Source organism: Homo sapiens, chromosome 7 (genome assembly GCF_000001405.40).
Source record: "Homo sapiens chromosome 7, GRCh38.p14 Primary Assembly".
NCBI lineage: Eukaryota > Metazoa > Chordata > Mammalia > Primates > Hominidae > Homo > Homo sapiens.
In genome coordinates, this window is record NC_000007.14 from 67,011,350 (window position 1) to 67,024,747 (window position 13,398).

The window sequence follows — 13,398 nt, forward strand, 5'->3', positions numbered from 1 at the left end:
ATCTATGAGGGTTTAATTTCTTCATCTGAAAAGTGTTCCTCCCCTTTTTTCTCCAGTCATGCCCAGTTAGGGGATTTCACCCTACAGCAGTGGTTCTCAAGTGTGGCCCCTGAGCCAGCAGCATCAGCATCTCCTGTGAACTTGCTAGAAATGCAGAATCTCAGGTCTTAGCCTAGCTGCATCGTAGAGCTTAAACAGTGCTCCTGGTGATGCTGACACAGGTAGAGTTAGAGAAGCAGAGGCTGGGTGTGGTGGCTCACGCCTGTAATCCCAGCACTTTGGGAGGCTGAGGTAGGTGGATCACCTGAGGTCAGGAGTTCGAGACCAGCCTGGCCAACACGGTGAAACCACGTCTCTACTCAAAATACAAAAATTAGCTGGGGTTGGTGGTGGGCGCCTGTTAATCCCAACTACTCGGGAGGCTGAGGCAGGAGAATTGCTTGAACCTGGGAGGCGGAGGTCGCAGTGAGCCAAGATCGTGCCATTGCCCTCTAGCCTGGGCGACAAAAGCAAATCTCCGTCTCAAAAAAAAAAAAAAAAGAAGCAGCACATAGAGCTGGGGTTGACAAACTTTCACGTGAAGGGCCAGGTAGTATCTTCACCTTTGTGGGCTGGGCAGCTACTCAGTTTTGCCACTGAGGCACAAAACAGCCATAGATAATATGTAAATGAATGAGTGTGGCTGTGTTGCACTAAAACTTTCTTTAAAAAAAATAGAGGCCAGGCGTGGTGGCTCTCGCCTGTATAATCCCAGCAAGTTGAGAGGTCAAGGCTGGTGGATCGCTTGAGCTCAGACATGTAAGAACAGCCTGGGCAACATGGTGAAACCCCGTCTCTATTAAAAATAGAAAAATTAGCCATGGTGGTGCGCGCCTGTAGTCCCAGCTACTTGGGAGGCTGAGGCATGAGAATTGCTTAAACTCGGGAGGTGGAGGTTGCAGTGAGCTGAGATCATGCCACTGCATTCCAGCCTGGGTGACAGAGCGAGACTCTGTCTCAAAAAAAAACCGCAAAAAGGCAGCAAGCAAGATGTGGCTCGTGGATTGTAGTTTACCGGCCCCGTCTTAGTGGTTAAATATCTAGCTTTAACTCTGTCCATTTCTTTGTCCCCCAAGAAAATGTACTGGTGTGCACATGAGTGAGCTTGAATGTGCTCTAAATTATTTGTGAAAAATTATTAGCAAACTTTGATATTACTTATAACTTACCTCATGACTTGGAACTCTTAAGATGAATTCAAACACCAGGCTATCAAGACTAAGGATACACAGGTTGAGAATCCCTGAACCGCAAATTGGAAATGCTTTAAAATCCAAATTTCTGGAGCGCTGACAGGAGGCCACAAGTGGAAAATTTCGCACCTGACCTCCTGTAATGGGTCAAGGTCAAAACGCAGTCAAAAGTTTGTTTCATATATGAAATTGTGAAAAATATTGTATAAAGTTACCTACAGGCTATGTGTGTAAGGTGTATATGAAACAAAGGAATTTTGTGTTTAGACTTGATATATCCCCAAGGTACATCATTATGTATATGCAGATTTAAAAAAAAAAACCAAAACAGAAAAAAACCTCTAAAATCCAAAAAACTTCCCATCCCAAACATTTTGGATAACGGATACCTAGCCTGTATTTTGTATCCCCGGGATTTGCAACAGTTCTGTTTAGATAATGGTGCCAAGTGTTAAATTACTTTATGTTTAAAACTTTTTATTGCTTTAATTTATTAGATAATTTTTTAGAGATCTCTCTGTATTTTTTCTTTTCTTTTCTTTTTTTTTTTTGAGATGGAGTCTTCGCTTCGTTGCCCAGGCTGGAGTGCAGTGTGCAGGGGTGTGATGGTGGCCCACTGCAGCCTCTGCCTCCTGGGCTCAAGCAGTTCTCCTGCCTCAGCCTCCCGAGTAGCTGGAACTACAGGCACCCACTACCACGCTTGCCTAGTTTTTGTATTTTTAGTAGAGATGGGGTTTCACTGTGTTGCTTAGGCTGGTCTTGAACTCCTGATCTCAAGTGATCCACCCGCCTCAACCTCCCAAAGTCCTGGGATTACAGGTATGAGCCACTGGGCCCAGCCAACATCCACTGCCTTGATATGGATATTCACAGCTTCCTGCCTGAGGAGATGGTAATGGACCTAGAACATGGTTCCCCTATTCCTTGGAGACTTCAGAGATTTAAAACAATCTCAAACACCAAATACAACTCTTATTGGGTAAGCAAGGTCACCACATTCCTTGTCTTTCTGACACCACAGAGCAGCTTCCACTCTAAGGAAGCAGGAACATGAGCTGTTGTTTTCTCTTAAGGTTTGAAACTCAGGTGCCTTATTTTCCCCCAGTGTGTTCTTCCATTAGTAGCCACCGTGCCTGGCCATCTCTCTGCATTTTTTCCTTTTTTTTTTTTTTTTTTTTTTGAGATGGAGTCTTGCTCTGTCGCCCAGGCTGGAGTGCAGTGACGTGATCTTGGCTCGCTGCAAGCTCTGCCTCCTGGATTCATGCCATTCTCCTGCCTCAGCCTCCTGAGTAGCTGGGACTACAGGCACCCGCCACCACGCCCGGCTAATTTTTTGTATTTTTAGTAGAGACGAGGTTTCACCGTATTAGCCAGGATGGTCTCGATCTCCTGACATTGTGATCCGCCCGCCTCAGCCTCCCAAAGTGCTGGGATTACAGGCTTGAGCCACCGCACCCGGCCTGTATTTTTTCTTGATTGATTTGGATTTTGTTTCCACTGTGGCAAATTAGCGATGATGAGAATGTATAGTCTGGATAACGGAATGGCGTATATGGTGAAATATACCAGGAGGTATACTGGCAGGAGCAAGGGACTGGGTTTTCTCCCCCGTGCAAGCTGTTCTTGCTGTGTTTCTTAGTCATGCCCTTCACTTTTGAAGATGAACCATGTTTATGAAGGTGCCCTTTGTTCTTTGAGATGAGTATGCTTTTTTTCAAAGGATTTTCTTCATTGAGATAATTTATGCCTTGTATGTTCCACTGAAACAATTACTTTCTTGGTTAGGTGACTAGTAAAAATGTCTGTGTCTTCCTGGTTGCGACATACACTGACGGCCTACCAACTGAAAGTGCAGAGTGGTTCTGCAAATGGTTAGAGGAAGCATCCATTGATTTTCGATTTGGCAAAACTTACCTGAAGGGTATGAGATATGCGGTATTTGGCCTGGGAAATTCTGCCTATGCTAGCCACTTCAACAAGGTAGGTCTATATTGAATTATAGGAATAAATTCTCCCCATAAACACACACACACGCACACACACGTAAACACACACACGTGCACACACGCACACACACATAAACACACATGTATGTGAAATAATCCACAAACTTTGGTAGCTAGTAATAAATACATTTCTTCTATTATTTTATTAATTGATTGATTGAGATAGAGTTTTGCTCTGTCGCCCAGGCTGGAGTGCAGTGGCACCATCTCAGCTCACTGCAACTTCTAGCTCCCGGGTTCAAGTGATTTCTCCTGCCTCAACCTCCCGAGTAGCTGGGATTACAGGCATGTGCCACCAGGCTTGGCTAATTTTTGTATTTTTACTAGAGACGGGGTTTCACCATGCCAGCCAGGCTAGTTGTGAACTCCTGGCCTCATGTGATCCGCCCAAAGTGAGCCACCGTGCCCGGCCTCTTCTGTTTTTTTTTTTTTGGAAACAGAGTCTTGCTCTAATCCCCAGCTGGAGTGCAGTGGCGGGATCTCAGCTGACTGCAACCTCCGCCTCCCGGGTTCAAGCGGTTCTCATTTATCAGCCTCCCGAGTAGCTGGGATTACAGGCACCCACCACCATGCCTGGCTAATTTTTTTGCATTTTTAGTAGAGACAGGGTTTCACCATGTTGGCCAGGCTGTTCTCGAACTCCTGACCTCAGGTGATCCACCCACCTCGGCCTCCCAGAGTGCTGGGATTACAGGTGTGAGCCAGCATGCCCAGCCTGCCCAAGCTCTTTATGCAGGTGAACTCTTAAAAAAAATTTTTTTTTAAAATTATGTTTATTTTTTCAGGACAGGGTCTTGCTTTGTCATCCAGGCTGGAATGCAGTGACCTGATCAAAATTCTCTGAACCTTGAAGTCCTAGGCTCAAGGGATCCTCCCAAGTCAGCCTCCCTAGTAGCTGGAACTATAGGCGTGCACCACTACCCCTGGCTAATCTTTCAATTTTTTTAGAGATGAGGGTCTCACTGTGTTGCCCAGGCTTGGTTCAAACTCCTGGCCTCAAGCAGTCCTACCCACCTCAGCCTCCCAAATTTCTGGGATTACAGGCATGAACGTGTCCAGCCTGAGCTCAGTTTTAAGAAATCATGAAATTTTTGGCTGGGCATGGTGGCTCACGCCTGTAATCCCAGCACTTTGGGAGGCTGAGGCAGGCGGATCACGAGGTCAGGAGATCGAGACCATCCTGGCTAACATGCTGAAGCCCCGTCTCTGCTAAAAATACAAAAAAATTAGCCAGGTGTGGTGGCGGGTGCCTGTAGTTCCAGCTACTCGGGAGGCTGAGGCAGGAGAATGGCGTGTACTCGGGAGGCAGAGCTTGCAGTGAGCCGAGATCTCACCACTGCACTCTAGCCTGGGCAACAGAGTGAGACTATGTCTCAAAAAAAAAAAAAGATCATGAATTTTTCAAGGGAAATGAAGGAAAAAACATTCATTGCACTTTACATAATAAAACATTAAATTTTTTGGTTAGTTTTCCCGGGCTATTTTTCTAAATGAAATTAACTTGGCTCCTTTTGCATCCTGTTCTCTACACTTGAAAAAATGAAACGATGGAGCCTCTCAGTTTCTTGGTCATTTGCATTGTGTACCTCTTCCTAGGGATGGGCCCTGCCTAGCTGTCTGTCTCTGGTGGAGTGTGAGTGACGGTGGAGGTGGGGAGTTTTTTTTAAAAGCTGTTTACGGCCGGGCGCAGTGGCACACTCCTGTAATGCCAGCACTTTGGGAGGCAGAGGCGGGCGGATCACCTGAGGTCGGGAGTTCGACCCCAGCCTGACCAACATGGAGAAACCCCATCTCTACTAAAAATACAAAATTAGCCGGGCGTGGTGGTGCATGCCTGTAGTCCCAACTACTTGGGAGGCTGAGGCAGGAGAATCACTTGAACCCGGGAGGTAGAGTTTGCAGTGAGCCGAGGTCGTGCCATTGCACTCCAGCCTTGGTAACAAGAGTGAAACTCTGTCTCAAAAAAAATAAATAAATAAAATAAAAGCTGTTTTCATTCTATTGTTGTGTCACAATGTAGATTTTGCTCCATATTTTCATTAAAAACATTTTTGATTATGTGTTTTTTGAGAGAGGGTCTCACCATGTTGCCTAGGTTGGAGTTCAGTGGCTTGCTGCAGCCTCGACCTCCCTGGGCTCAGGTGATCCTCCCACCTTAGCCTACTGAGTAGCTGGGACCACAGGCGCCCACCACACATCCAGCTAGTTTTTGTATTTTTTGTAGAGATGGGGTTTTACTTTGGTGCCCAGGCTGGTGTTGAACTCGGGCTTGAGCATTCTTCTCACCCCGGTCTCCCAAGGTGCTGGAATTATAGGCGTGAGCCACTGCATCTGGCCTCTCCCCATATTTTCAAATAAATTAGACTATGATTGGGAAAATTCAGATATGTAAATTTTTTTTTTTTTTTTTTTTTTGAGACAGAGTCACTCTCTTGCCCAGGCTGGAGTGCAATGGCACAATCTCGGCTCATTGCAACTTCTGCCTCCAGGGTTCAAGGAATTCTCATGACTCGACCTTACAAGTAGCCTGAATTATAGGCATGTGCCACCATGCCCCACTAATTTTTGTATTTTTAGTAGAGATGGGGTCTCACCGTGTTGGCCAGGCTGGTCTTGAACTCCTGGCCTGAAACAATCTGCCTGCCTCAGCCTCCCAAAGTGCTGGGATTACAGACATGAGACACTTCGCCTGGCGTAGATACGTAAATATTTTGTTTAATGCCTTGCCACTCAGGAAGCTTATTAAGTTTTTGAACTCTTAACTATGCCTCTGATAACTCCTGTTCCTCAGCTTAATTGCTTCATATCACAGTGAAATAAATTACTGAGTTTAGGAAATTACGAATCTTGCCAAATTGATTACATTTTCATTTTATAACTGAGTAGGCTTAGGCCCCATAGGCTTTGTTACATTTTTGGAACTCATTTATTTTGTTAACTCCTGTTTTGTTCTTATCATGATATAGAATGGTAGGTTTCAAATTTTTTTTTTTAGTCATTAATCCTTCATTTGATAAAGGGGGTTTGTTTGTCCTTTTGTTTAAAAAAATAAATCTAAGGCAGAAAAGTAGAATACATAAAATGACCCTCTTCTGGGTCAAGGCTGGAGCTTGAAGGCTTGAAGGTCATTTTGCCAGCAATTTCCTCTTCCTTAGCGGCAGCCCATGACCAGGGGCCTCGGAAGGACTTTGGGCTTTTGCAGAGCAGTCTGGAAAACCCTGATTTAGAGAACCGTGCTTTTAGCCTATCTATCTTTTCCTCACAGGTTGGCAAAAATGTTGACAAGTGGCTCTGGATGCTTGGCGCGCATCGTGTGATGAGTCGAGGGGAGGGCGACTGCGACGTGGTTAAAAGCAAGCACGGCAGCATTGAGGCCGACTTCAGAGCATGGAAGACCAAGTTCATCTCCCAGCTGCAGGCACTTCAGAAAGGGGAGAGAAAGAAGTCCTGTGGCGGCCACTGCAAGAAAGGCAAATGTGAATCTCACCAACATGGCTCAGAGGAGAGGGAGGAAGGATCTCATGAGCAGGATGAATTGCATCATAGAGACACCGAGGTATACCGCCTGTGTGTTCATCTCTCGAGGCTTTCCTCTTCTGCTTGGAGATCTCGAGCTTGACCTCTTTCTCAATAAACCATCTCGTTGGCTTCTGGTTAGAAGGAAGATCTGGCTGAGTGCAGTGGCTCGCACTTGTAATCCCCACACTTTGGGAGACCAAGGTGGGGGTATTGCTTGAGTCCGGGAGTTCAAGACCAGCCTGGGCAACATAGCAAGACCCTATCTTTACCACAATAATTTTAAATTTAGCAAGGCATGGTGGTGCATGCCTGTTGTCTCAGCTACGTAGGAGGTGGAGTTGGGAGGATTGCTTGAGCCCAGGAGTTTGAGACTGCAGTGAGCTGTGATCATGCCACTGCCCTCCAGCCTGGGCAACAGAGTGAGACCCTGCCCCAAAAACAAAGACAGAAACAATAACAAAAAAAGAAGGAAGATGTGAAACTCATGTGGTGGTGTTTCAGAGAGAGAGAGAGGCCTTAGGAATTAAGCCATATCGTGCTAGATGCTTTCCAGAATCTCTTCTTTAGGCCGGGCACGGTGGCTCACGCTTGTAATCCCAGCACTTTTGGGAGGCCAAGGTGGGTGGATCACTTGAAGTCGGGAGTTCGAGACCATTCTGGCCAACGTGGCGAAACCCCATCTCTACTAAAAATACAAAAATTAGCCAGGTGTGGTGGCGGGCACCTGTAATCCCAGCTACTTGGGAGGCTGAGGCACGAGAATCGCTTGAACCCGGGAGGTGGAGGTTCCAGTGATCTGAGATCATGCGACTGCACTCCAGCCCGGGCGACAGAGTGAGACTCAGTCTCAAAAAAAAAAAAAAAAAAGAAAAAAACAAAATACTGGGCCTCCCAAAATACTGGGATTACAGGCGTGACCCACCGTGCCCAGCCTTAACGTTTTCAATTGCTTTACCTCTCACTCACTCTTGTAACCCGACTGGCCAAACCCCAAGCCAGGCTGAAACCATCCCCTTCACATCAGCCTTCCCCGTGTCTGCTGCTGATTGTTTGACTATAGATTCACGACCACGGGCTCAAGTTTAGACTCAGAAGTGCTCTACAGGCTCACACCTTCCCTTGCAGATTCCCCTTCTTACTCTCCAAGTTGACTGTTTCATACTCATTTCCTCCCCAACCCTTCCCCCAGCTCCCATCTCCTGCCTCAGCCTCCTGAGTAGCTGGGATTACAGGCACGTACCACTACGCCCAGCTAATTTTTGTATTTTTTTAATAGAGATGGGGTTTCATCATGTTGGTTAGGCTGGTCTCGAACTCCTGACCTCAGGTGATCTGCCCGCCTCGGCCTCCCAAAGTGCTGGGATTACAGGCATGAGCCACCATGCCCAGACCGTTTTGTAAATTAGAGACAGTGTCTCACTATGTTGCCCAGGCTAGTCTCTAACTCCTGGCCTCGAGCAAACCTCCCATCTTGGCCTCGGACAGCGCTGGGATTGGGATTACAGGGGTGAGCCACTGCACCTAGCCAAAATATATAAATATAATTTAAAGAGTTTATTTGAGCCAAAATGAGGGCAGCTGTCTCAGACACACTTTGCAGCTGAAGGGACTGCTCCATTAGCTTTTGTTACAAGCAGGTTTTTAAAAGCAAAGGGAACAAGGAGTGGTCGATACCAAGTTGTTGGACAGAAATTCTCATTGCTTTATAGCGATAATATTGATTAGTGATTAGCTATGCACTGTTGAATGACAGGATATGAGGTATGGTGTGCAATGCAAATAGCATTTTATGGCTACCTGGAGTCAGTCAGTCTGAGTCAAGCCCACAGAGCAGATGGCTTCAAGAGATAATTACTTAGCTCAACAGGAAGTGATATGACAGATGTTTCATTCCAATTTCATTTCAGTCCAAGCTATGACTGCAATGAAATTGGAATGAAACATCAATTTCAATTCAGGTTATGGGTCCCATAAGTTAAAGAGCTTACAGCCAGTGTGGAGGCTCATGCCTATAATCCCAACACTTTGGGAGGCCAAGGTGGGTGGGAGGATTGCTGGAGGCTAGGAGTTCAAGATCAGCCTGGGCAAAATAGTGAGACCCTGTTTCCACAAAAACAAAAATTAAAAGTAGACAGGATGGTGGCTCAGGCCTGTAAATCCCTGCTACTCAGGAGGCCGAGGCAGGAGGATCACTTGAGCTCAGGAGTTCAAAGCTGCAGTGAGCTATGATCAAGCAGTTCTCCTGCCTCAGGCTCCCGAGTAGCTGAGACTACAGACGCCCGCCACCACGCCCAGCTAATTTTTTATGTTTTTAGTAGATACCGGCTTTCACCACATTAGCCAGGATGGTCTCAATCTCCTGACCTCGTGATCCACCTGCCTCGGCCTCCCAAAGTGCTGGGATTACAGACGTGAGCCATTGTGTCCGGCCAAGTAATCTTAAAAATACAAATCAGACCATGTTAACCTCCTGTTTAAAAGTGATTTTTCATTGCTGCTGCTTTCATAAAAACTTCGTTGCTTAGTGTGACCTTAGCACCTAATCTGACTCTTGAATTTCTCCATTGTCATCCTATTATTCTCTCTCTTCCTCTCCAGCCTCTAGCTACGTGGTCTCCTTGGTTCTAAAAATATTTGTCAAGGCTGGGCGCGGTGGCTCATGCCTATAATCCCAGCACTTTGGGAATCCAAGGCAGGCGGATCATGAGGTTGGGAGTTCGAGACCAGCCTGACCAACATGGTGAAACCCTGTCTCTATTAAAAATACAAAAATTAGCTGGGTATGCTGGCAGGCACCTGTAATCCCAGCTACTCGGGAGGCTGAAGCAGGAGAATCGCTTGAACTTGGGAGGTGGAGGTTGCAGTGAGCCGAGATTGCGTCACTGCACTCCAGCCTGGGTGACAGAGCGAGACGCTGTCTCCAAAAAAAATAAAAAACAAATTTGTCAAATGAGTTTGAATATCCAACTTTGTGCTCACCTGTTACTCTTTAGTTCAGGCCAACATCTTTTCTTCCCTAGGGGATTGTCATACGTTGTTCAGATTTATCCTTGTCTATATTCTTGTTTCCCTTAAATTACCTTCTGTCTTCCCAGTTGAGTGAGCTATTGAAGTGCAGGTCTGTGTTACTTCTCTGTTCAGACCATGTTAGACGCTTCTCATTCTCTCTTTCCAGGACAGGCAAGATCCTTTGCAGTCCGGCCCACATCTTTCTCTGCTACATTTTCTTCCCATGTCATGTGCTTTATTCTCCATCTGCTGGTACTTTCTGAGTGACTGATAGTAGCTGCATGCCTCCTGGTGCTTGCCTAAGTGACTTTGCCCATCCCCTTCCAACAGCGTTCCCACATGTCTTTCCCTGGCTGGGCCTGTTTACTTACCCTTCACATTTGACTCAGGTATCGTCTCATTCGGGCAGCCACCCGTAGATTTGGAGCCCACTGCATGGCTCCTTTTCGTATTCCTAAACCCTTTCATTAAAGCATTTCCCCTTTCGATGTAGTATCTGTGTGTCTCTTACTGGATTGGAATCTTTGTGAGGACCAGGGGAATGTGTCGCATTAATTTTCAAGCACTACTGGCTACCATGAGTATATGCAGTGTTCAAGATAACTTTTGAAGTTTCCCAAGGTCACAGAACCAAGTTAGCAGTTTTGATTTGATTTGATGTGAAGATGAAATAGGTTCCTTTTGGAAAAAGTAAATTCTCGACATGAGTCTTTCCATTAGAAACTTGAGTCTAAGGAGAAGTTATCAAGAAGAGTCTAGGACAAGGACCAGCAAACAGGCTCACTGGCCAGATCCAGCCTATTGCCTGTTTTTCTTTTGAGACAGGGGCTGGTCTGTTCCCCAGGCTGGAGTGCAGTAGTGCATAGCTCACTGCAGCCTCTAACTCCTGGGCTCAAGTGATCCTCCTATCTCAGCCTCCTGAGTAGCTGGGCCTACAGGCATGCACCATCATGCCCAGCTAAGTTTTTTTAATTTTTTGTAGAGATGAGGTCCCACTGTGTTGCCCAGGCTGGTCTCAAACTGCTGAGCTCAAGCGATCCTCCTGCCTTGGCCTCCCAAAGTGTTGGGATTATAAGTGTGAGCCACTGCACCCAGCTTGTTTTTTAATTTTTTAAAATAAAAGTTTTGGAAGCATAGCCATGTTCATTCATTTATGTATTGTCATAGCTGCTTTGGTGTTAGAGGGGCAGATTTGCATAGTAAAGACAGGATTGTATGCCCCACAAGGTCAGAAATACTTACAATTTGGTGTTTTACAGTAAAAGTTTACTGACTTCTTGTCCAGGATAACATGGTGAGATTGGACTAGATGATCCCTGATGTCTCTTCTGTGTCTAATATTCTGAAATTTATTGGAAATGATGAGGTAGGAGCATAGGGCACATGGGCAATACGGAACTTCTTGCAATTCTAGGAAAATGAGTGCATCAGGAGATCCTAATACTGAAGGTATTGTTATATATTTAGACAAACTGGTTGGGAGACACTGGACTAGAAGATCTAAAAATGGACTAATTGTTAGCAAGTATGTTTCACGTGGTGTACTTGTCTCTTCTTGACAGCTTGGGCATGAGGCTGGGATATCAGGGTGGAGTTAACTGGCAGAGACTTTCTGTTGAAGCTGGGCTAAATTAAAGAACACATTCATACACTTATTTCTGGGAACAATTTATTTTGTCATCTGGAAGCAAGGCAGAGAAGACTACTCATTTATTGACAAAGCAAAAGAGAACCAGAGAGCCAGCCACAGCGCCACTTCTGTAGTCTCAGGCTTGGTTTCAAATAGGAGAGCGTAAGATCGTCCGTGATAATCCTATCATCTGGCACAGGACAGGCGTGACCTCGTCTAAGAGGGGCTGTTTTATTTTGTATTGAACACTTATCAGCAGCATCTGATTATATGACATCTCTCTGCTATACTGTGGGGCATATTGGCCAGCATATGAAGGTTATTGACATTTTGTTTCTTTTAATTTAATTTTTTTCTTTTCTTTTTTTTGAGATGGAGTCTTGCTCTGTTGCCAAAGCTGGAGTGCAGGGTCACGATCTCGGCTCACTGCAACCTCCACCTCCTGGGTTCAAGCAATTCTCCTGTCTCAGCCTTTGGAGTAGTTGGGACTACAGGCGCATGCCACCACGCTCGGCTAATTTTTGTATTTTTAGTAGGGACAGAGTTTCACCATGTTGGTCAGGCTTGTCTCGAACTCTTGACCTCAGGTGATCCATCTTCCTTGGCCTCCCAAAGTGCTGGGATTACAGGAGTGAGCCACTGTGTCCGGCCCGTTTCTTTTAAAGTGACCCTTGAGTTACTGAGAAAGTACCTGCTGTTGAAAACAAAGAACTACTTCACCTCTTAAAAATCTCTTTATCAGCTGGGCACGGTGGCTCACATTTGTAACCCCAGCAATTTGGGAGGCTGAGGCGGGCGCGTCACCTGAGGTCAAGAGTCTGAGACCAGCCTGGCTGACATGGTGAAACCCTGTCTCTACTAAAAATACAAAAATTAGCTGGGTGTGATGGTGCATGCCTGTAGTCCCAGCTACTCTGGAGGCTGAGGCATGAGAATTGCTTGAACCAAGGAGGTAGAGGTTGCAGTGAGCCAAGATCACGCCACTGCACTCCAGCCTGGGTGACAGAGCAAGACTCAACAACAACAACAAAAACAACAACAACAAAGAACAAACAAAAAAATCTCTCTAACGTTTTATTCTGCCTTATCCTCAATTGGAGAAAGGGATGAAGGCTGCCACGTATTAGCTGTGATTTCTTAACTTCTCTACCTTTAATTTCCTCATCTATGAGATGATGTTGAACCTGTCTACATCATAAGTAGTTAAGGATGAAATGAATGGGTATATGAACATTGTGTTGGGGACGTAGTAGATACTCAGCAAATGTGTCTTCCCAGTGATGTCACATTTCCTCTACTTCTGCTTGGTATGTGTCTCGTTCCCCTGAGCCCAGCTCATGTCACTGTGACGTGAGAGGGCAGGTGAAGTGTTAGTTGTTCCCACTCCATCATGCCCTTTCACAGTTGTTAGTCTGATGCTAAAGACTTAAGATTTATTTCTTCATTGTTGTTGTTGTTGTTTTTGTAGAGATGAGGGTTTCACTATGTTGCCCAGGCTGGTCTTGAACTCCTGGCTTCAAGTGATGCTCCTGCGTCAGCCTCCTAAGTAGTTGGGATTATAGGCATGTGCTACCACATCTGGCTAATTGTATACATTTTTTTGTAGCAATGTGGTCTTGCTATGTTCCCCAGGCTGGTTTCAAACTCCTGAGGTTTCAAAGTCCTCCCATCTTGGCCTCACAGAGTGCTGGGATTATGAGTGTGAGCCACCATGCCCAGCCTAGATTTTATTTTTAAAGTAAGAATTTATAGACAGCCGAGCACTGTCGTCACGCCTGTAATCTCAGCACTTTGGGAGGCTGAGGTGGGTGGATTACCTGAGGTCAGGGGTTCGAGACCAGCCTGGCCAACATGGTGAAACCCTGTCTCTACTAAAACTACAAAAATTAGCCAGGCGTGGTGGTAGGCGCCTGTGATCCTAGCTACTTGGGAGGCTGAGGCAGGAGAATGGCTTGAACCTGAGAGGTGGAGGTTGCAGTGAGCTGAGATGACGCCACTGTGC

General features: G+C 45.9%; 1 protein-coding gene across 6 annotated transcripts in view; it reads left to right on the top strand.

The window, feature by feature from the left end:
• Positions 1–13,398, top strand: part of TYW1 (tRNA-yW synthesizing protein 1 homolog) — a 242,682-nt gene that overhangs the window by 14,517 nt on the left and 214,767 nt on the right. For all 6 annotated transcript variants that reach the window (NR_134540.2, NM_018264.4, XM_017012392.3 and 3 more), the window contains exons 5-6: positions 3,018–3,212; positions 6,504–6,794. Coding sequence is in view for 5 of the 6 variants with exons in the window: in NM_018264.4 (NP_060734.2) it covers positions 3,018–3,212; positions 6,504–6,794 (486 nt within the window). In the remaining variant the exon portion in view is untranslated. The remainder of the gene's footprint in view (positions 1–3,017; positions 3,213–6,503; positions 6,795–13,398) is intronic.